This window comes from Homo sapiens, chromosome 22 (genome assembly GCF_000001405.40).
Source record: "Homo sapiens chromosome 22, GRCh38.p14 Primary Assembly".
NCBI classification, from domain to species: domain Eukaryota; kingdom Metazoa; phylum Chordata; class Mammalia; order Primates; family Hominidae; genus Homo; species Homo sapiens.
Genome location: NC_000022.11, coordinates 37,244,302 through 37,266,891, shown reverse-complemented (window position 1 = coordinate 37,266,891; position 22,590 = coordinate 37,244,302). Strand labels below are relative to the sequence as shown.

The window sequence follows — 22,590 nt, the reverse complement described above, 5'->3', positions numbered from 1 at the left end:
GGCACCGGGTGGTGGGGACAGCATGTGCAAGCCACAGAGGTGGAGACTGGGCGACCTCTGTGTACACTGGTGGGCAGGAGCACGCACTTAACGCTGAGTGAGTGTATGCGTGTGGCTTTAGCGGGAAGCAGGGGGGATGAACCTCAAAGGAGAAATGGGCCAGGTGCCCACGCCTGTAATCCCAGCGCTTTGAGAGGCCGAGGCCAGCGGATCATCTGAGGTCAAGAGTTTGAGACCAGCCTGGCCAACATGGTGAAACCTAGTCCTTACTAAAAATACAAAAATTAGTCGGGTGTGGTGGCACATGCCTGTAATCTCAGCTACTTGGGAGGTTGAGGCAGGAGAATCGCTTGAACCTGGGAGGTGGACGTTGCAGTGAGCTGACATCTCACCACTGCACTCCAGCCTGGGCCACAGAGTAAGACTCTGTCTCAAAAAAAAAAAAAAAAAGAGAAATGGGAGCCAGGTGGTGAGAGGCTCTGAATGCCAGAACACCATTTACTCTTCTTATTTTTTTCAGATTGGCAATAGGTAAGAAAGAAACCCTCCTTGGTGGGAAATGTCTCTTGTGCCAGATGCCTTGTCCCAAGTGCTCCTCAGTACAACCCTTTGAGATTCTGTTATGAGCCTGCCTTGCCTATGAGTGAGGCTGAGCCTTGGAGAGGTGTCCTCACTCCCTCTGGGTCACATGCCAGATGGTGGAGACCTGAGAACCGGGAACCAAGGTGAGCCCTGATTTGCAGTTTAGAAAGGTCACTCTGGCTGTCATGTGAAGGAAGGACTTGATGGACAGATTAAATGCAGACAGGCCTCTTAGGAGGCTGTTACAAAGGCCCAGGCCAGGGGTGCTGATGGTTGGGGGTACAGAGGATCTGGGGTGTGAGGGACCTTTGTGAGAGGTAATTAGATACTGAAACTGACTGGTCCTGGTGAAAAATCGAGGGTGAAGGTGAGCAGAGTGAAGGATGACTTTGAGGTTTCCAGCCTGGGAGACTGGCGGGTGATGGTGCTGTTTCTACAGGGGGCTGAGCCAGCTTAGTGGGCAGTAGGTTAATGATGGCTGCAAATTCTTTTTTTTTTTTTTTTTTGAGATGGAGTCTCGCTCTGCCGCCCAGGCTGGAATGCAATGGCATGATCTCGGCTCACTGCAACCTCCACCTCCCGGGTTCAAGCCATTCTCCTGCCTCAGCCTCCCAAGTAGGTAAGACTACAGGCATGTGCCACCATGCCTGGCTAATTTTTTGTATTTTTAGTAGAGACAGGGTTTCACCGTGTTGGCCAGGCTGGTTTCAAACTCCTGACCTCAAGTGATCCGCCCGCCTTGGCCTCCCAAAGTGCTGAGCCACTGTGCCCAGCCGATGGCTGCAAATTCTGTGCTCCTCTTTCCATTGAGCGGGGGAGTTTATTCCTTTCTTAGTACCTGGGCTTGGGCCCAGGACTCACGTGACCCATGGAACAGAGGTCCAGCTGGTATTCCATTGCCTGGCTATGGCAACTCGTTCAAGAGTGGTTTGGTGACCTGAGTAAGTCCAGTGAGATTCAGTCCTGGGACTTTTGCTGGAACAACTAGACAAAGAAAACTCCTTTCCAGTTGTGATGTCCAGCTGGGAAGATGATGTGAATCTGGAGTTCTAAGTACCAGAAGGATCCTAAGAATGAAGCCACAGCAGAGGAAGGTGAGTGGGGAGATGTGCAACAACAGCTATTGAGGCTGGATGGTATCATATGGGCCTCTGCATCATCAATGCTGGAAGCCCAGACAACTTGGTTACGTGAGCCAGCTAATTCCCTTTATGGCTATGACAAATATTAAAAAGTAGGCTCACTCAACAGCTATTCTCAATCCCTCTCCAGCTCTCCTTCCTCTACTAACTACAGAGTCTGAAACCTAAATTGTTATTTCCCAGCCTCCTTTGCAGCCAAGGATGGCCATGTGACCTTTCTGGCCAACCAGGGTCCCTGGAGAGGGTGGCCCTTCCTGAATAAAAGGAAATTCTCATGAGGAGAAGGCAGTGTTTGGCCCCCTTCCCTGCTGCTTGGAAAGTGGGTGTGAGGCTGGCAGGTGCAGCCAACTTGCAGCTCTCAACGGTAAGCATGAGGGGCAGAGCAAGTGCTGAGGGTGATGGGACCAAAACACAGAAGGGCCCAGGTTTCTGATGGCACTGCTGGGCTGCAGCTCCAGTCCCAGGCTGCCTCCTGACACCCTGCTGAGTGAGATCAACAAAGCCCTGCCCGAGCAAGCCCTGCTGCTTGTCTGCAGTGGAGTATGAGTGTGCTGACACATGGAGTGAGACAGAGGAGCCCAAACCAGTGCAAGGAGACAACTGGAAAAATATTGAAAAGGGGAGGGAGTGGCCCTAGCCAAGTGATGCAGAGAGGCAGGGTAGGAGTGGGCTAGGGCCCAGGTCGACTCACTCACCTTCCATTCTACCCCGCCTCACCCTCCTATACTGCAGAGGCTAGCAAGCTAAAGCCACCCTTCCTCCCGGATCCCTTGCAGCTATGATTCTGGATGTGAATTAGATCCTACCAATGGGATTTGCTCCCATGAGATTTGGAAAGCAGCTGTCTTCTTGCTGCTCTTGGCAGTCATTGCTGGCAAGTGACCTTGTGGGTGTCAATAAGCAGTTGCAGCAGAGGACGCAGTGCTGGACCCTGTGTCGTAGTATCTGGACTCTGACTTCCTGAGGCTCAAGATTCGGGTACAGCAGTGGTGGTAGCATCCTAACCCCTGGGTGGCAGCCACAGTGGGGGGTTTAGAGGTGGCCCCTGACTCCTCACCTTCCTGGCTGTGGCCTCGGTGGCAGCCCCTCTTGGTCAGTTCTGTGGTGTCCTGGGAGTCATTTCTGGAAACTGGCCCTGGAGCACGCTCCCTGAGTACATCTTATGATGTTGTAGGTGCTGAATTTCCTATGTTCAATCTCTTTCTGCTTAAGATACCTAATGTGGCTTCTAGTCCTTACACTGAAACATGACTGATACAAGGACCAAGAAGTGACCGTTGGATTTAGAAACCTGGACGTCATACGTAGGTGAGCCTCAAGGGAGCATTTTCACTGGAGTGGTGGTGTAGGGCCATCCATTGTGGGAGCCGTTAGCACCTGTATTAATTCTCCAGGGCTGCCATGTCAAAGGACCACAGATCGGGAGGCTTCAACAACAGGAATGTACTTTTTCACAGTTCTGGAGTCTGGAAGTCCAAGATCAAGGTGTCAGCAGGGTTGTTTCTTCTGAGGGCTCCCCTTGGCTAATGGTGGCCGTCTTCTCCCTGTGTCCCCACATGGGCTTCCCTCTGTGCGTGTCTGTGTCCTAATCTCCTCTTCTTATATGCACACCAGGCATATTGGGTGAGGGTCCACTCTCATGACCTCACTCTACCTGAATCACCTCTTTTTTCTTCTTCTTCTTTTTTTTTTTTTTTTTTTTTTGAGACAGAGTCTCGCTCTGTCTCCCAGGCTGGAGTGCAATGGCACGATCTGGGCTCACTGTAGTCTCTGCCTCCTGGATTCAAACAATTCTCCTGCCTCAGCCTCCTGAGTAGCTGGAATTATAGGCATGCACCACCATGCCTGTCTAATTTTCGTATTGTTAATAGAGACGGGGTTTCACCATATTGGCCAGGTTGTTCTTGAATTCCTGACTTCGTGATCCACCCACCTTGGCCTCCCAAAGTGCTGGGATGAATCACGTCTTTTAAGACCTTGTCTCCAAATACAGTCACATGTGGAGTTACTGGGGCTTCAACATATGAATTTTAGGGGAACACAATTCAGTCTGCAGTTCCCCTAAAAACACGCTGTAATCCACAGAAGTGGGTCAAACACCAGGAGGACACTGCTGTGGAAGAGGATGGAGATTTAGCTTCCCAGGTTTTGGTTCTCTGGGGTCCCTGGTCCCCAGCCCTCCTCGGCCCAGTCTCCAGATTCCCCATCTTTGTGTGCCAATAATGGTGTCCAATCTCACTCTCACTGACCATGGAGGAAACCAGGGTGCAGTGGGTGTTTCCTGGAGGCGAGGGCAGGGGAGGGGAGGTAGGGTCGGTGGATGGCAGCCGGAGGGGTCTCGAAGACAAAACCCCTGGGCTGCTTCTTTGTAAGATGGGAGAGACCGGATGTGAGATGAGGGAGACAGTAGAACGAGGCTGAGGACATTGGAGAAAGAGCAGAGTGACACCCTAGAAGTGGGGAGAGGAATACAAGATAAAAAGGAGAAAGCCAGCCCCATCACACTCATGCTGACATTTATCCAGAGTCTGCTACGTGCCAGTTTCCTTCTAGGTACATGACACACATACTTGCACCCCGTGCTCATGGCTATCCAGAGAGGGAGGTGCCCCCATCAGCAATGGGAGAGCAGTTTGCAGAGGTGAAGCCACTCACTGGGGACACACGGCCAGATAGCAGAGGAGGCGGGTGGAGACACAGCCTGACCCCAGAGCTCGTGAGTGGGAGAGGTAGAAAGTTGGAGGAAGAGGGCACAGTCATCTTGAGATGGGCTTGAGTAGAGTGGAGACTGAGGTCACCTCTGGAAGAAGAAGTTGGTGTTTGAGAATGGGGTTGGTGGGAAGTGGGGAGTAGGGGTGAGAGAGAGCCCCCTAGCATTCAGTGAGGGTCCTTGCTGAGGCTGAAAGTGGAGTTTGCCCCCTAGACTTTCTCCCACCACCATCTGCTGCTGCTGGGTGGATGGGGTCTTGAGCTGCATTCCTTCCCTGGGTGGCCTCCTGCTGCTTTAAATACTGACTTAGTCTCTGGAGTCCTAAAAGAAATGGAAGAAAACACAAATAAACGGAATGATATCTTGTGTTCATGAAATGGAAGAATCAGTATTGTTAAAATGTCCATAGCACCCAAAGAGCTACAGATTCAGTGCAATCCCTATCAAAATCCCAACGTCATTTTTCACAGAAAAAAAAAAAAAAAAACCCTAAACGTTGTATGGAACTACAAAAGGCCCTGAGTAGCCAAAGCAATCTAGAACAAAAAGAACAAAGCCAGAGGCATCACCCTACCTGATTTCAAAATATACTACGAAGCTGAGATCTCACCACTGCACTCTAGCCTGGGCGACAGAGTGAGACCATGTCTCAAAAAACAAAACAAAACAACAACCCCAGAAACTCATTTCTCAGAGTTCTGGAGCATGGGAAGTCCAAGACCACGGTGCCAGCAGATTCAATGTCCGGTGAGACCTGCTTTCTGGTTCATAGATGGTGAACTCGTCACTGTATCCTCACGTGGTGGAGGGGGCTAGTTAGCTCTCAGGGCCTGTATTATAAAGGTGACAAGCCCACTTACGAGGGCCCTTCCCTAATGACCTAATCATCTCCCAAAGGCTTCTCCTTCAAATGCCATCACGCTGGAATTAGTTTTCAACATATGAATTCAATATATACGTTCTCAGGGATGTAAACACTCGGTCAATAGCAAATGCCATCTACGTTGGGACAACTCCACGCTTATGCCTCCAGCCTGGACCCTTCCCCTTTTCCAGAATATTCTATCCAAACACTCAACAGCTTCATGTTCAACAGGCTTCTCACCCAAAATGTCCAGGACAGAAGCTTGATTCCTGGATGCTCTAAGCCCACTCCTCCCGCGGCCACCCCCTCCTAGTTAAATGGTGCCTCCATCCGCCAAGGTGCTAAGAATGAAACCCAACATCATTCTTGACTCCCTCAGCAAGTCCTAAAGCCTCTACAATACCAACTCTCCGTCCAGCCACTTCTTACACTTCCCACCATCACCTCCCTGGCCCAAGCCTCCGTCCCCTTGCCTGGACACTGCCATGGCCCCACCGGGTCTCTCAGCGTCCGCCCTGGTGTCACTGTGGCCTATTCCTCATATGGCCACCAGAGGGTGCCTTCTTGATCAGGATTCGCCGGTTTTTCTGCTCGCGCCCAGAAGAAATCCAGTGTGTGAGCGAAGGCTCCTTGGTCATTTTTTCATGGCGCTTTCACCACCTGCCACTGTGATTGTATTTGTTGCTAGCTTGTTTATTGTCTGTCTCCCACCTGGAATGTGAGCTCTCTGGGGGCAGGGACTTCTATTTGTACACTGCCATTTACCCAGAGAAATGGACCCAGAACGAGCTTGTTAACCATGGGATGCTGGCCTGACAGAGGACTTGCTGGCAAGGGCCGATCTTCTCCACCCTTCTCCCCGACTATTCAAGGAACCTTTCCCCACAACCTCCATGTCCAGATGCCCAGCATCAGAAGCCCCTGGACCACCCAGAGCTGGAGGATGGACACCCGGGTCCAGGGCTCCAGGAGAAAGGCAGGAGCCGGAAGGCCATGGGGGAGGGAGGGTGATTTTTCTAGTGAGAATGAAGCCTTGCCCAAGACCTGCCCATGGGAGGAGATGAGATGGGGATGGAGGGGTGCATTGTTTGGAGAGGAGAAGCCGCTCCACTTCTCCCGCCTCTGTGGACTAGCGTAGGGGTCCCCAGAGAAGCTTCATCTGTATTTACAGCTGCTCCTCGTTGCTCGCATTACTGCCTGAGCTCTGTCTCCTGTCAGATCAGCCGTGGCATAAGATTCTCATGGGAGCATGAACCCCGTTGTGAACTGCGCATACGAGGGATTTGGGTTGCAGGCTCCTTATGAGAATCTAATGCCTGATGATGATCTGTCACTGTCTCCCATCACTCCCGGATGGGACCGTCTAGTTGCAGGAAAACAAGCTCAGGGGTCCTACTGATTCTACATGATGGTGAGTTGTGTAATTATTTCATTATGTATTACAATTAATAATAGAAATAAAGTGCACAATAAATGTGTTTGCATCATCCCAAAAGCATCCCCCCAAATCCGTGGAAAAATTGTCTTCCACGAAGCCAGTCCCTAGTGCCTAAAAGGTTGGGGACCGCTGGGCTAGAGCAACGGCTGGTGCAGACCTCAGGGTGTTTGGTGCCTGAAGGTGGACAGGCAGGCTGGGCTGGGACTCTGTTCCTACCCTTCCACGATAAGGTTGGGACTGGGCTAAGAAAGGGAGGGGGTGAGTGGTGACTGCTGAGGGCCTAGAGGGGGCACCCCAAGGTCCAGTAGGAAGAGGATTTGGTTGGGTAGGAAGGGGAGGGGGCTTTGTCCCAGAGCGACGGGGAAGACAGGATGCCACGCGCAATCTGGAAATCTCGCAACGCCCTCTCCCGGCACTAACGCATCTCTACATTCCCAGGGAGAAACGCGGAGTTCTCAACTGAAGCTCAAGGTGGAGAGCGAGAGAAGGAGGCGGATTCATGAAATATTTCGGAGAGAGGAGCCACGGGGCCCTGAGGGCGGCAGAAGCTGCGGCCGAGAGGAAAAGCACCAAGAACACCGCCCTGCCGGGAACTAGTTTTAAATCCACGTCCAGGTTTTGTATGAGCCTCGCTGGAGGAATATACGTTCAGGGTAAATTGTGTTGGTCAATGGGTACTGTTAACTGGGAAAAAAAATCACACAATTTATATATTTAGAAAGGAGATTTTATTTCTTTAAAGAGTTACAGCCTGCAAGGTGGCCATCCTGCACATGGCATGTGGCAGAGGCCAGAGACAGGCACTTCAAAAGAGGAGGGGTTGGGGTAGCAGCTTTATGCTAAAGGCGTTGGCTAAACATACATATTCAACAGGCTACAGGAGGAGCTATGCATATTCATGAAGGTGGCCCTGACGGATGCATATTGAAAGAACATGCATGTGATATACTACCCATGTTCACTTTGGGGTGGAGACTTAACATGTAAATGCATTACACTTAGGCCCTATACCGCTAAAGGTCTTCGGAACACGGGCGCGGAGCTTCTGCAAACCGGCCAGAACTGGTCCGTGGTCCGTGGTCTTCTGATCTGGAGAAAGCTACTGAAATCAGTCTCTTCTCTAATGAAGGCTGGAATTAGGGCCTGGAGCAGGGGCTCAGTTGCTCAGCGTAGGGGCCCTGGATGAGCTGTGATTGATTTCATCTGGCTTATCTCGAGGCAGCGGCTTGTTTAGCTGCCAGAGCAAAAGAAACACCTTGTGGCAGGCAGGACAGAGTTCACGGTTTAAGTGTGGGGTGTGTGACCTCACCCTCACCTGGCAGGGCCTGAGGTCCTGGTTGTAATTTGGTATTGTGTTGCCACAAAGTCTGTTCTGTCCATATTATGGTTCTTTTTTTTTTTTTTAATTTATGGTTCTGTTTTAACATTACTGCTGGTCAGTTGTGTCTCAACTGCGAAAGGGAGGTGTATAATGAGGCGTGTCTGACCTCCCCTTCCATCACGGTTGGGATCTCAGTTTTAAAAGTTTTTCTGGGCCAGGTGCAGTGGCTCACGCTTGTAATTCCAGCAATTTGGGAGGCAGAGGCAGGGGGAGCACTTGAGGTCACAAGTCCGAGACCAGCCTAGCCAACATGGTGAAACCCTGTCTCTACTAAAATGCAAACATTAGCTGGGCGTGGTGGTGGTGGGTGCCTGTAATCCCAGCTACTCAGGAGGCTGAGGCAGGAGAATGGTTTGAACATGGGAGTCAGAGGTTACAGTGAGCCGAGATAGTGCCACTGCACTGCAGCCTGGGCGACAGGGCGAGACTCTGTCTCAATAAATAAATAAATAAAAATAAAAGTTTTTCTGAGGTCCCTTTGGCCAAGAAGTGGTTTGTTTAGTCAGTTGGAGGGCTTATAATTGTATTTTTAGTTTACAGTAGCCATCTGTAAAACTATAAAGTTGAGTCTACCTTACACTGTGCAATGGGATAATGAGTCATGTCAAATAATTCAGTGTAACAAATGAAACCACAAAACTATAAGAAGAAACTATAGTAAACTGTTTGAAAAATATAATTTCAGAATGGCAAAGACCTTTCTAAAAATCACAAAGAACCCAGAAGCCATAAAAGAGAAGATTGATTAACCAAACTATTTAAATATGCAGAAGTCCACGTGGCTCAAGTCACCATCAGTTAAGCCAAAGTGCCAGTGGCCACCTGGGAACATATGGCTGTAACTTGTGTGATGGACCAGAAGTGAGTCCCCCTAACATGGAAATCAATCAAAAAGACCAACACCGAATAAGAAAGTAGGCAAAAGGTATGAAGGCACAGTTTACAGGAAAAGAAAATACAAATGGTTTTTTTTTTTTTTTTTTTTTTTTGAGGTGGAGTTTCTCTCTGTTGCCCAGGCTGGAACGTCGTTGCATGATCTCGGCTCACTGCAACCTCCACCTCCTGGGTTCAAGCGATTCTCCTCCCTCAGCCTCCCAAGTAGCCAGGATTACAGGCGCCTACTACCATGCCTGGCTAATTTTTGTATTTTTAATCGAGATGGGGTTTCTCCATGTTGGCCAGCCAAGTCTTGAACTCCTGGTCTCAAGCGATCCAAAGTGCTGGGATTACAGGCATGAGCCACCGTGCCTGGCCACAATGGCTTTTAACCCTCCAAAAAGATGCCTATCCTATGGAAAAGAAATGCAAATCAAAACTCCGGTGCAATGTCATTTATTGCTTACTGGGGTGTCATAAATAAGAACATTGCCTGAAACGCCGTATTGGTGGGGAAGCCAGTTTTCCCACACACCGCCGGTGGGAGGATGGATAGATACAACCCTGGTGGAGGGCCATTTGACACCGATGCACCCATTCTGTCACCCAGCAAACCCCTGTTGGGGAAGGCTGCCTTCAGATACTTGCATCTGGGCGAAATGGCACGTGTGCGCTGTTATTCATGGCAGCTTTCTCGTGGTAGCAAAAGGCGGGGAATCCTATCCTTCCTTCAACAGGAACTAATCAAATTAATTCTAGCAAGTCTGCACAATGGAATTCTGTCCATATAGAGGAAGCTCTTCGTCAACGAATGTGGGACAAACTTCAAGGTAAATAGTTAATGGAAACCAACAAGGTGCAGGACAGATTGGGATGAGAGACAGGAAGTGGAGAATGCTTTCTTCCACTGGAACATCTCTGGAGGGACATAGATACGTCAGTGACAGAGGTGGCCTCTGGAAGGGGAATTGAGTGCTGGGCAGATGGGCTGCAAGGTGGACCTGTGCCTTCTGTATTTTGGACCATGGGGATGCATTACCCATTCAAAAGTAGTATGAAAATATTAAAATGTAACAAAAAAACTTTAAAAATATTTGTGGTCTAGGTCCCAGTTTAGGGGGCTGGGATGATTGTGTTGTACTGGGATAGAAGAGACTGCTGGATTCAAGAGGGCAATGGGGTGTCCTGGGTGGGGGTAGGAGGCATCTCCAGTAGGCAGTGGAGAGAGATCTGGGAACTAGCCTGACTGAAGCGACCTCAGAGGGTGTACAGAGAAGGGACTGAGACCGAGGCCTGAGGCGCAGGTGTAGGAAGCAGGGGTGGGGGGTGTGTACCTGCTCAAGGATGGGAGGGGCAGCTCTCATCAGCCCGTCAGTTAGAGAGTGGCCTGTGGGGCCCGCTGGGAGGGCCTCCTGGGACCTGAGGTGTGGGGCAGTGGGAGCTTGGTTCTGTTTGGTATCTGGGTGTGTCTGGGGCACAGAGCCTGGCTCTGGGGGCAGAATGCTGGTTTTCTCATCAGGAAAGTCCCTGATGGAGAGAGGGACCCGCATTCTTCATGGGGGATCTTCGAAGAGAAAATCCTCTCCTAGAGGTAGGGAGGTGACTGGAACTGAAGAGTGGCCCAGGGCGGTCAGCCCAGGGAGCTGGGTTTGGGGATCGGGTGGGGGGCAGTCAGTGGGAGTTCCATCAGCTCCTCGGAATTTGACCTCAGAGCCACTCTGGGAAAACCCTGTCAGGCTGGGGACTCAACTCCAGCACCTGGGGACTGCCCAGAGCTGCCAGCCCTCCCTGTCACCTCTCTTGCTTGTGACACTGAACACAGGATGACCCCCAAGGCAGAGTGGACCTGGACGCAAATGTTCCCCAGCTCTGACTCCAGGGTGCCAGCCAGGGACACCCTAGGCATCCCCTCAATGTTTTCTTTCTTTCTCTCTCTCTCTCTTTCTCTCTCTCTCTTTCTTTCTCTCTCTCTGTCTCCCTCCCTCCCTCCTTTCTTCCTTCCCTCCCTTCCTCTCTTTTCTTTCTTTCTTTTTTCTTTCTGTCTTTCTCTCTCTCTCTTTCTTTCTCTTTCTCTCTCACTCTACTTTCCTCCCTTCCTTCCTTCCCTCCCTCCCTTTTCTTTCTCTCTCTCTCATCCTTCCTTCCCTCCTTTCTTCCTTCTCTCTTTCTCTTTTTCTTTCTCTCTCTCTTTCTTTCTCTCTTTTTCTTTCTCTCTCTCTCATCCTTCCTTCCCTCCTTTCTTCCTTCTTTCTTTCTGTCTCTTTTTCTTTCTTTCTTTCCTTCCCTCCCTCCCTTTCTTTCTTTCTTTCTTCTTCCTCTTTTCTTTCTTCTCTCTTTTCATTCATTCTCTCTCTCTCTTTCTTTCTTTTTCTTATTTCTACCACATTTTACTGAGTGCTAGGTCTGTGTCAGATCTTGGAATATAGTAAAGATTTTTAAAATGTTGGCTGCTATTTCAATAAGATTAAAAATTTTAGCATGATCTGATAATTCTAAAGTTGCATGCATTTGATGACATAACCTAAGGGTTTAAAAACAAAAATAAAAAGTGACAGAATTACAAGTAGAATTGACAAATTCACCACCATAGTGGGAGATTTAACATACTTTTCTCAAGAGCTGATAAATATAAGCAAGGTAAATATAAATTTATTTGTAATGATACGAAAGATCTAAACAATGCAATGAACACCTTTGATTTATTAGACACATAGGGAACACTGAATATATACACATTTATGAAAATAACACTCACAGTAGGTCATAGAGCAAGTCTCAACACATTAAAAGGAGTCAGTGTGACACCGTCTGTATTCTTTGTCTGCAGTATCACGAGGTAAGAGAACAAGATAACAGCCTCTTTCCCCAACTCTTGGAAATTAACAATGCACTTTCAAATGACTCATTGAGCAGAACGGAAATCGTAATGAAAGTTGAAAAATGTTTAGAACTAAAACATAATAAAATATTACATATTAAAACTGTGGGTTGTGGTAAATTTTATGTTATGTCTATTTTACCACAATTAAAAGCAATGCTAAAGTAGTATTGCCTTAAGAACTTGTATTAGGAACAAAATAAGACTAAAAATTCATGAACTAAGCATTCAAAACTAAGAAGTAAAGTAAGAACATCAGAACAAAGCAAAAGAAAGAAAAGAAACAATAAAGATAAGAATAGAAATTAATTAAATGGGAAACAAATGTATAGTAGAAAGGATTAACAAGACCAAAATTTGGCTCTTTGAAAAGGTGAGTAAAATTAATGAAACTGGGGAGCAATTGATTAAGAACAAAGTTTGAAGGCATAAATAATCAATATAGGATAAAAAAAGGGAGATAACAGAAATTAGAGAGGAGAGATTCAAAAGATATAAAATAATACTATGAATAGCTTTACACTAATGAATTTGAAAACCCAAGCAAAATGGGCAACTTTCCAGAAAAATATCTAAAGCATGACTCAAGAAGTAATAGTGGCCGGGCGCGGTGGTTCATGCCTATAATCCCAGCACTTTGGGAGGTCAAGGTGGGCAGATTGCTTGAGCTCAGGAGACCATCTTGACCAATATGGTGAAACCTCATCTCTACTAAAAATAAAAAATTAGCCGGGCCTAGTGGTGCCTGCCTGTAGTCCCAGCTACTTGCGAGGCTGAGGCATGAGAATCACTGGAACCCAGGAGGTGGAGGTGGCAGAGAGCTGAGATCACACCACTGCACTCCAGCCTAGGTGACAGAGTAAGACTCTGTCTCAAAAAAAAAAAAAAAAAAAAGGAATTCCAAATAGTCCTATACCCCTTAAAGAAATTGAATTAGTAGTTTAAAATCTACCCCTCTTCCCCCTCTCCCCCATAATTCTGAAACCAGGTCCAGATACAGATGGCTTTATAAATTTTATAAAATATTTAAGGGAGAGATAATGTAATATTATCCAAACTGGCTGGGCGCGGTGGCTCACGCCTGTAATCCCAGCACTTTGGGAGGCCGAGGCGGGCAGATCACGAGGTCAGGAGATCGAGACCATCCTGGCTAACACGGTGAAACCCTGTCTCTACTAAAAATACAAAAAATTAGCCAGGCGTGGTGGTGGGCGCCTGTAATCCCAGCAACTCGGGAGACTGGGGCAGGAGAATGGAGAATGGTGTGAACCTGGGAGGTGGAGGTTGCAGTGAGCCGAGATCGTGCCACTGCACTCCACCTGGGTGACAAAGCAAGACTCCATCTCAAAAAAAAAAACAAAACATAATATTACCAACTCTCATAATGAAACTAGTATAACCTTGATAACAACAACAACAAAAAAAGACAAAGACAATATAAGGAAAATGACCGGCCGATCTCCCCACCCTACCTGTAAATATTGGCAATTTCAAGCCAGCAATACACAAAAGGCGATGCATCATGACTGACTGAGTGAGGGTGTGACTGAAGCTGCTGTAACAAAAAGATCTGAAAACGCAGTGGCTTAAAGAAGCAAAAGTGTATTTCTCTCTCAGGTCTCGAGCTGAGTGGTCTGGCTCTATGTTGCCCCCACATGGTTCCAGGATTGTTCTGGCGTTTTTATTTCCTACTCCGTGGGGAGAGGGGAAAATGCTGTACAGGATAAATGGTTTAGCTTCCAAGGAGATGATGCAGAAGTTGCTGACATCACTTCCATTTGCACCTTTTTCCCCCAGACATGATCATAGGGCCCACTCTGCTGCAAGGGAGACTGAGAAATGTCTTTAGCTGGGTGAATGTGTGGCTAGCCCCAATGCTGGGATCTCTGTTATTAAAAAGAAGCAGAGAACGGTTGCTTAGGGATACTCAGCAATAGTCCCCATATTAACTAAATTAGACTTATCTGGGAATGCAAGGAGAATTGGACATCAGAAAATGTATTAATATAATTCACAACATTTCCATGGGTACAGAAAAAGACATTCAATCAAATTAAACGCTTAATAATGATAAAACAAAACTGCCGTTTCTAAGAATAGTAGGGAAACTTCTTTCAGTGACAATAATATCCACCAAAAGCCTGCAGTAGACATCAGGTTCAATGGTGAAACATTAGAAACAGTCTCTTTAAAATCAGAAATAAGACAAGGTTGCCTGCCAGCACTGATTCCCTTCAGCCCTGTAATAAAAGATCTAGACAAGCCAAGGAATTAACGTTATAAAAATTGGGAAGGAAGAAATAAAACTGTCACTTTTCATAAATGATAAGACTGTCTATAAAGACAGCTGTAGACTTGTTAGGAGCAAAATCTTTACATAAATTAGAATGAGAATTTCCATCCAGGTTTCTATATAAGTTCAATATACAAAATGTGACATTTTCCCTACGTATGGGCAACAAATAGAAAATTCAATTTAAAAAATATTAGTTATAATGGCACTGAAAGTAATAAGGTATCAAGGAATGAATCTTTCAAAAAATGTGCATGACCTTTCCGGGGGGAAATTATAAAACTTAATTGAAAGATATAAAGAAGCAATATACCATGTTAATGGACAGGAAGACTCAATATATAAAGATGTCACTTCTCCCCAAGTTCCTCTAGAAATTGAATACAATTCTAATCAGAATCCTCACACAGTTTTTCTTGGAACTTGACAAGCTTATTATGAACTTTATATGAAAGAGCAAAGTGTCAGTGGTAACGATAACAATTTTGAAAACATTCAAGAGTGGATGATTTGCTCTGCTGGGTATAAAGATCTGATATAGAACTTCAGTAGTTGGCTGGGTGCAGTGGCTCACGCCTGTAAGTCATACCAGCACTTTGGGAGGTCAAGGCGGGCAGATCACCTGAGGTCAGGAGTTCAAGACCAGCTTGGCCAACATGTGAAACCCTGTCTCTACTAAAAATACAAAATTAGCTACATGTGGTGGCAGGCGCCTGTAATCTCAGCTATTTGGATGCTGAGGCAGGAGAATCACTTGAACCTGGGAGGTGGAGGATGCAGTGAGCCGAGATGGTGCCGTCGCACTCCAGTCTGGGCAACAGGAGTGAAACTCCGTCTCAAAAAAAAAAAAAAAAAAGAACTGCAGTAATTGAGGCAGTGTTTTACCGGCTTGAGGGTGGACCAAGAGTCCAATAGATGGAGAGGCTAGGAAAAGACTCATGCACTTATAGACTCTTGACATGTGATATGATTTGGATCTGTGTCCCCATCTAAATCTCATGTCAAATTGTAATCCCCAACAGTGGAAGTAGGGCCTGGTGGGAGGTGATTGGATCATGGGGGCGGAGTTTGCATGAATGGTTTAGCACCATCCTTCTTGGGTACTGTATAGTGAGTGAGTTTTTGTGAGATCTGGTTGTTTGAAAGTGTGTGGCACCTCTCACCCCCTTGGTCCTGTTCTTGCCATGGAAGATGTCTGTTTCCACTTTGCCTTCCACCACGAGGCCCCCCCAGAAGCAGATGCCACCATGCTTCCTGTGCGGCCTGTGATACTGTGAGCCAGTTCAACCTCTTTTTCTTAGTAAATTACCCATTCCCAGATATTTCTTTATAGCAGTGGAACTGTGAGATGCGAGATGGCTTGACCACAGCTTACTGGGCAAAAAGCAGGCAGAGCTACTCAATAAATGGTTCTGGAACAATCAGTCATGGAGATAATGATGTTAAATACATATCACACAGGCCAGGTGCGGTGGCTCACGCCTGTAATCCCAGCACTCTGGGAGGCCGAGGCGGGCAGATCACCAGAGGTTGGGAGTTCGAGATCAGCCTGGCTAACATGGTGAAGCCCCATCTCTACTAAATATACAAAATTAGCTGGGTGTGGTGGTGCGTGCCTGTAATCCCAGCTACTTGGGAGGCTGAGGCAGGAGAACCGCTTGAGCCCCGTAGGCAGAGGTTGCAGTGAGCTGGGATCATGCCACTGCACTCCAGCCTGGGTGACAGAGTGAGACTCAGTCTCCAAAAATAAAATAAAATACAATAATAAAAAAATACATATCACACAAAAACTAAAAACAGTCAATAATCTCACCACACCCTAAATTCCGTCTGAAGTGTGTAAAGACCTACTCATATTTATTTTCTTTTTTCTTTCTTGAGACAGGGTCTCACTCTGTTGCCCAGGCTGGAGTACAGTGGTATGATCATGGCTCACTGCAGCCTCGACCTCCCAGGCTCAAGCGACCTGCCCACCTTAGCCTCCTGAGTAGCTAGGACTACAGGCATGCACCAACACATCTGGCTAATTTTTGTATTTTTTGTAGAGATGGGGTTTCACCATATTACCCAAGATGGTTTCAAACTCCTGGGCTCAAGTGATCTATGTGCCTTCATCTCCCAAAGTGCTGGGATTGCAGGCATGAGCCACTGCACCTGACAAGACCTGTTTATGAAAAGCAAAACTTTAAAAGAAAATGAGGATATTCGTCTTCATGAAATTGGGGGAAGGAAAGGAATTTTTAAGTAAGATTCACTCCAAAAAACACAAGTCATTATGATGCAGGGCAGGTGAGCCTCCAAATTGGGGCTTAGCTTTGGAAGGTTCTTGGGTTCTCTCAGGAAGGAATTCCGTGCTGAGCTGACGGTGGAAGAAAACAGCTTTATGGAGGTGGCAGTGTTACAGCTGCGCGAGTGCCCCTGCAGAGTAGGGCTACCTGACGGGCAGTGTACTGAGAGCAGCAGCTCAGGGGCAGTTCCACCGTCATATTTATACCCACTTTTAGTCACATGCAAATTAAGGGGTGGGGTATTTAGAACTTTCTAGAAAAAGGGTGGTAGTTTCCGGGCTGTTGCTATGGAAAGGGGTGGTAACGTCCGGGTGTTGCCATGGCAATGGTAAACTGACATGGCGCTGCTGGGCATGTCTCATGAAGAGGTGCTTTCGCCTCGTCCCCATTTCTGCTAGTCCTCAGTCTGGTCTTGAGTCAAACCCTGCCTCCTACCTCAATTAGGAGAGAAAGTGGAAATTTGACTACATGCAGATAAAAATTGTGTCTATTAAATGTCACAACATATTAAAAGACATCCCACGGACTGGAAGAAAGTATGAAATGCCTCTAGCAATTCAAATGAAAATCAGAATATGCAAAGAGCTTCTCCAAATAAATGTAAGAGAAGGATAAATACTGGGCCTGGCACAGTGGCTCACGCCTGTAATCCCAGCACTACCTGGGAGGCAGAAGTGGGTGGATCACCTGAGGTCAGGAGTTTGAGACCAGCCTGGCCAACATGGTGAAACCCCATCTCTACTAAAAATACAAAAATTAGCCGGGCATGGTGGCGTGTATCTTTAATCATCGCTACTCAAGAGGCTGAGGCAGAAGAATCGCTTGAACCTGGGAGGCGGAGGTTGCAGTGAGCCGAGATCACGACATTGCACTCCAGCCTGGGCAACAAGAGTGAAACTCCATCTCAAAAAATAAAATAATAAAATAAAATAAATAAAATAAAATAGATAAATGCTCCAATAGAGAAATGGAGAAAAGTGAAGAAAAAGCAATTTATGGAACAGGAAACACAAGGTCCAGTAATCACTTACAATGATGCTTAATACCACTGGGAATCAGTTAATATAAATTAAAACCTCAGTGAGATGCCAATTCACACCCATCTAGCTGGCAAAAGTATGAAGTCTTACAGGCCAAGCATGGGCTGGGAGTAGACGAGGAGGCCCCTGGAGATGGGCGTAGCACTGTCCGTTGAAGTGCAAGATATGTGTGTGTATGCTAAACCTCACACACCAGCCCAGGAGCACATGGATGTTCACAGCAGAATCGTTTGTAGTGCAAACATTGCAAGCCACTTACAAATCCTGGCCCGGGAGATGTAGGCTGCAGTGAGCCATGATTGCACTCCAGCCTGGGCAACAGAGTGAGACCCTGTCTCAAAAAAGGAAAAACGAAATAAATATGAGTAGGTCTTTACACACTTTGGACAGAATTTAGGGTGTGGCGATATATTGACTGTTTTTAGTTTTTGTGTGATATGTATTTAATGTCATTATCTGCATGAATTGGATAAATAACATTTCAATACATTCATATACTGGAATATTTACCAGAAAAATAACTAAACTGGAACTCTAAGTTGAACATTTCCCAGCACACTGCTGGGTGGGACTGTGCCTCCCAAATTCGAAGGCCTGTGGTGAGGAGGAGGGAGCTGACTGACCCTGAGTGGCCCCAGAACAAGAGGTAGCACCTCTATGAGGACAATCCAAGGGAAGGATTTGGGCTGAAAATGAGGAAGGGTTTTCTAACAGGCCAGGCTAGCCAGGAGTGAAAGAGACTGCCCCTTAAGGGAATGAGCTCCCTGTCATTGAAGGTATGTAAGCAGGGACTGGGCAGCTGCATCATGGGCAGTGAGCCAAGCATTGTCTATCAATGGCACAAGGGTGGGTTGAATACAGATGGCCTTAGGCCCCTTCTAAGCATGCCCAGAGGCCTCGTGGTTCTGTGATTCAGTGAGTTTGCAAAGTGTAGTCAAAAGAGGATGGGACTAAATGAATAACCAAATGTGACACATCCCTGCGGTGGGACACTACTCACTAATAAAAGGGACAGACACACCATGACACATGTAACAACAAGATGAATCTCGAAAATATGCTGTGTGAAAGGGCCTTGGATGAGATGCCACACCGTGTGATGCCGTTTATGTGAAATCCTAGAAAACGCAAAGTAATCTACAGAGGCAAAAAGCAGATCGGAGCTTGTGTGTGTGAGCTGGGCGGTGGCTGGGGGCGTGGGGAGGGAGAAACAGGGAGAGGTGGGCTGCAGGGGGGTGCAAGGAAGCTTTTCAAAGTGATGGAAGTGTTCTGTGATGTTCTGTATCTTGGGAGGTTCCATGGGTGCATATATCTGTCAAAATGAATGGAATTATATGCTTTAAATGGATCACTTATTGTATTCAAATTATACTTCCACATAGATACTTTTTTTTTTTTGAGACGGAGTCTCGCTCGGTCGCCAGGCTGGAGTGCAGTGGTGCGATCTCAGCTCACTGCAACCTCTGCCTCCCGGGTTCAAGCCATTCTCCTGCCTCAGCCTCCTGAGTAGCTGGGACTATAGGTGTACGCCACCATGCCCAGCTAATTTTTGTATTTTTAGTAGAGACAGGGTTTCACCACGTTGACCAGAACGGTCTCCATCTCTTGACCGCGTGATCTGCCCGCCTCGGCTCCGAAAGTGCATATGGATACTTTTAAAAAAAGAACTAAAAGGCGAGGAGGGCTGGAGCAGAGGTCAGTGCCGCTGCATCATGGACTTGGTCACGTAGACTTGGGCCTGACTGCTGTCGTCCAAGTGGCTTCACTCCTCCATCTGGCCATCCTGCCAACCCTGGCCTGTCCACACAATCCCAGGACCACCTGCAGATGGGGGACATTCCCAGAGAGTGGTTCCAGGGCTCCTGTGTCATTCTCGGTGTGGGTTAGAGTGCTTCAGGGATAGCTTTCTGTTCTTCCATGTTTTGTATTCACTACAGTACCAAGCCCAGAGCTGGGTATTCAGGTGGTGTATCATTGATGCATGCAGAATGAAGGAGAGAATCAATGGCTTAAGCTAAGGAGAATTTTTGCTTGGGCTGCCCTGGAGAAGTGGCTTTCTTGGGAGGGAGGGCAGTTGCAATTTTAGGACCGTCATGGCCATGTACAGTTGAGTGGGTTGTGTACTGCAAAAAAAAAAAAAAAAAAAAAAAAAAGGCCGGGCGCGGTGGCTCATGCCTGTAATCCCAGCACTTTGGGAGGCCAAGGCGGGTGGATCACGAGGTCAGGAGATCAAGACCATTCTGGCCAACATGGTGAAACTCTGTCTCTACTAAAAATACAAAAAAATTAGCTGGGTGCGGTGGCACGCGCCTGTAGTCCCAGCTACTCGGGAGGTTGAGGCAGGAGAATTGCTTGAACTCGGGAGGCGGAGGTTGCAGTGAGCCGAGATCACGCCACTGCACTCCAGACCGGCGACAGAGCGAGACTCTGTCTCAAAACAAACAAACAAACAAACAAACAAAACAAAACAAAAAACAACAATCTCTGCTCTAGTAGGTGAACGAAGGATAAAACTCAGTATCTACACTGCTTTCCAAGTCAGGTGGCTGCACCCATTGGCTGTGCATTCCTAAAGAAGCGCATTATTCTTTTCTCTTCCCTTTTTTAAACAAAAAAATGTTTTATTCTGGAAGAATTTTAGATGTACAGGAAAGGTGCAAAGATAGCAGGAGTGTTCACATACATTTTCACCCAGTTTCTCTCTATGCTAACATCATTTGTGTAACCACGGTATATTTGTCAAAACTAAGAAATTACTATTCTTAACAATACTATCAAAAATTTCAGACTTGATTTGGATTTTACTACTTTTTCCACTGATGTTCTTATTTTTATTTTATTTTATTTTATTTTATTTTTTTGAGACGGAGTTTCACTCTTGTTGCCCAGGCTGGAGTGCAATGGTGCGATCTCGGCTCACTGCAACCTCTGCCTCCCGGGTTCAAGCAATTCTCTGCCTCAGCATCTTGAGTAGCTGGGATTACAGGTGCCCGCCACCACGCCTCGTTAATTTTTTGTATTTCTAGTAGTGACGGGGTTTCACCATATTGGCCAGGCTGGTCTCAAACTCCTGACCTCAGGCGATCCACCAGCCTCGGCCTCCCAAAGTGCTGGTATTACAGGCGTGAGCCACCACACCCGGCCTGATGTTCTTTTTTTTTTAAAGCTAATTTAATCGTTTAAATTGCTTCAAGAAGCTGCATTTATAGATGAAACACTTGTTTCTTTTTCCCCCTTCAAGAACTAGAAATGAATTCTTTTAAAAAATGTATTAAAAATTTTTAATTTGTAATTGACACATAATAATCGTACATATTTATGGGGTACAATGTGATGTTCCAATGCATGTATACACCGTATAATGATCAATCAAATCCAGGTAATTCCCACATCCATCACTTTTAATATTTATCATTTCTTTGTTGCGACATTTGAAACCTTCCCTTCCAGCTGTCTTGAAATATGCACGAGATTGAGATTTGCTGTAGTCACCCTACTGTGTAACAGGACACCAGAACTTACTCTTTCTGTCTTACTGAAGCTCCACAAATGTTCTTTTTCTGTTCCAGGTTCTAATCTGGGGTACCGCACTGCATTTAATACATTATTATTATTATTTAAATTAACACAGAGGTTGCCCCGTGGACTAGCAGTGGATGGAAAAAGAAAGGGGCATAGAGAAGTATCCAGAACAAAGTCCTCAGGTGGCCTGTGAGGGAGGAAGCCCCAGGGTGGTCACGGGGCACACCTGGCCTCTCTGACCCACAGTCTCAGCACAGCGTATGCAAAGTGCAGAGGAAAGACACCGGTTTGCTGGTAGCTTTAACAGTTGACTTGCCCAGCGCTTGAGGAAGTTGCATTTCCCTTTCTGTAAAAGTCAATGTTGTGAACCCAGTAACTTGTGTGAATTGCTCTGAAAAGGTTCAGCCTCCGGGTGCCTGGTGGGAATCCTGCGCTCTGCCAGCCAGCAGGCCCTGGCCCTCTGCACCCTCCTTTGGAGTTCCTGGCTTGTCCCGAGTGACGAGTCCAGGGTGGGTGACCAGTGGCTCTTCCTCTCCCCGCCCCTCCGTCCCTTCCCCCCGGAGCTGGAAAGGTGTGTGGGTGGGGAGTGATAGCAATGAACAGTGAACTTGGTGCCAACTGGGGTGGTCGAATATTCACCCGAGTCCACGTGGAGAGCCCTCGTGGCGAAGGGAGCGCCCTGCAAGCTGCAGAACTCAGGTTTTGTCCCTTCAAACAGCAGCCGGAGCCAATAGCTGCAGCTTGGAGAAGAGCTTGGAGTCACCTGAGCCTAGGGCTGGTTTCAGGCTAGGTGGTCAAATGACTTCTCAGACCCTCAGTTTTCGCATCAGGGAAATGGGCCACAGTTCTAGCTCCAGGGTGCCTGGTCCCCCAGGGCGGCCTCAGAATAGGCTTGGCTCCTGTGGGGCACTGCCCGCCACTTCCCCTCAATGTGCCCTTCTCCATCAGCGGACCCCACCTTCCCTTCCTGCCTCATCGCCCCACATCCTCCCACCCAGGGACTCCCACACAGGCCCTTGCCTGGGGGAGCCTCTGGGTCCTGGCTCAAGCAATCTCCCCCCACCTGGAGTTCCCTCTTTAGGGCGCACGTTTCAAGAGCCAGCTCCAATGCTAGCTTGCAGGCCCCCAGCTCTCCATCTCGGTAACCCTGAGGTCCTCTCTGTAGATTCCCCCGTTGCCTCAATCACTTCCTGTCTCTGTTATGATCTCCCATGATGAAGTCATGCCTCCCTCTCTGCAAAGGGTATAAACTCCAGGGACCAGCTGTCTCTTGCATCCTGGGATCACCAGCACCTGGTACTGTGCCTGGCACACAGCAGGCACTCATTAAATGCTCTGCTTAGAATTGAAGTGCACTGAATTCTTGGAACCCTCAAGTTCTTGGAGAACAGCCTCTGGGCCCGCCCCGTGGACAGGAAGTGAGCCTCCCAGCACAGAGGGCCCCCAGGTCTCCTGCTGGAGCCTCCACGCAGGGGGCCTGTGGGGATGGCCAGGGCTCAGCCCAGCACCTGAGCGCCCCTCCCACCAGCTGCTCTGCCAGACCGCATGCTCCGCCCCCTGCAAACGACCGTGGGG

At 47.6% G+C, this 22,590-nt stretch overlaps 1 long non-coding RNA gene across 2 annotated transcripts, besides 5 other annotated features; it reads left to right on the top strand.

The window, feature by feature from the left end:
• Window positions 1-1,067: 1,067 nt before the first annotated feature.
• LOC107985576 (uncharacterized) lies at window positions 1,068-7,420 on the top strand. 2 transcript variants are annotated; one of them, XR_001755534.1, is made up of 3 exons: window positions 1,335-2,088; window positions 2,937-3,032; window positions 7,176-7,420. It is a non-coding gene; the product is annotated as an uncharacterized LOC107985576 (long non-coding RNA). The 2 variants fall into 2 exon arrangements; XR_007068093.1 differs by lacking the exon at window positions 7,176-7,420 and adding an exon at window positions 3,119-4,811 and having other exon boundaries at window positions 1,068-3,032.
• Window positions 5,752-6,291: an enhancer, noted in NCBI's record as "H3K4me1 hESC enhancer chr22:37656641-37657180 (GRCh37/hg19 assembly coordinates)". NCBI's record gives its function as "activates a minimal SCP1, AML or CMV promoter by ChIP-STARR-seq in primed H9 embryonic stem cells {active_cell/tissue: H9 hESC(primed)}" and the evidence as "EXISTENCE:reporter gene assay evidence [ECO:0000049][PMID:30033119]".
• Window positions 13,084-13,585: an enhancer, noted in NCBI's record as "H3K4me1 hESC enhancer chr22:37649347-37649848 (GRCh37/hg19 assembly coordinates)". NCBI's record gives its function as "activates a minimal SCP1, AML or CMV promoter by ChIP-STARR-seq in primed H9 embryonic stem cells {active_cell/tissue: H9 hESC(primed)}" and the evidence as "EXISTENCE:reporter gene assay evidence [ECO:0000049][PMID:30033119]".
• Window positions 21,123-21,707: an enhancer, noted in NCBI's record as "H3K4me1 hESC enhancer chr22:37641225-37641809 (GRCh37/hg19 assembly coordinates)". NCBI's record gives its function as "activates a minimal SCP1, AML or CMV promoter by ChIP-STARR-seq in naive H9 embryonic stem cells {active_cell/tissue: H9 hESC(naive)}" and the evidence as "EXISTENCE:reporter gene assay evidence [ECO:0000049][PMID:30033119]".
• Window positions 21,963-22,012: an enhancer, noted in NCBI's record as "active region_18959". NCBI's record gives its function as "activates an Ori minimal core promoter by ATAC-STARR-seq in GM12878 lymphoblastoid cells {active_cell/tissue: GM12878}" and the evidence as "EXISTENCE:reporter gene assay evidence [ECO:0000049][PMID:35858748]".
• Window positions 22,163-22,232: an enhancer, noted in NCBI's record as "active region_18958". NCBI's record gives its function as "activates an Ori minimal core promoter by ATAC-STARR-seq in GM12878 lymphoblastoid cells {active_cell/tissue: GM12878}" and the evidence as "EXISTENCE:reporter gene assay evidence [ECO:0000049][PMID:35858748]".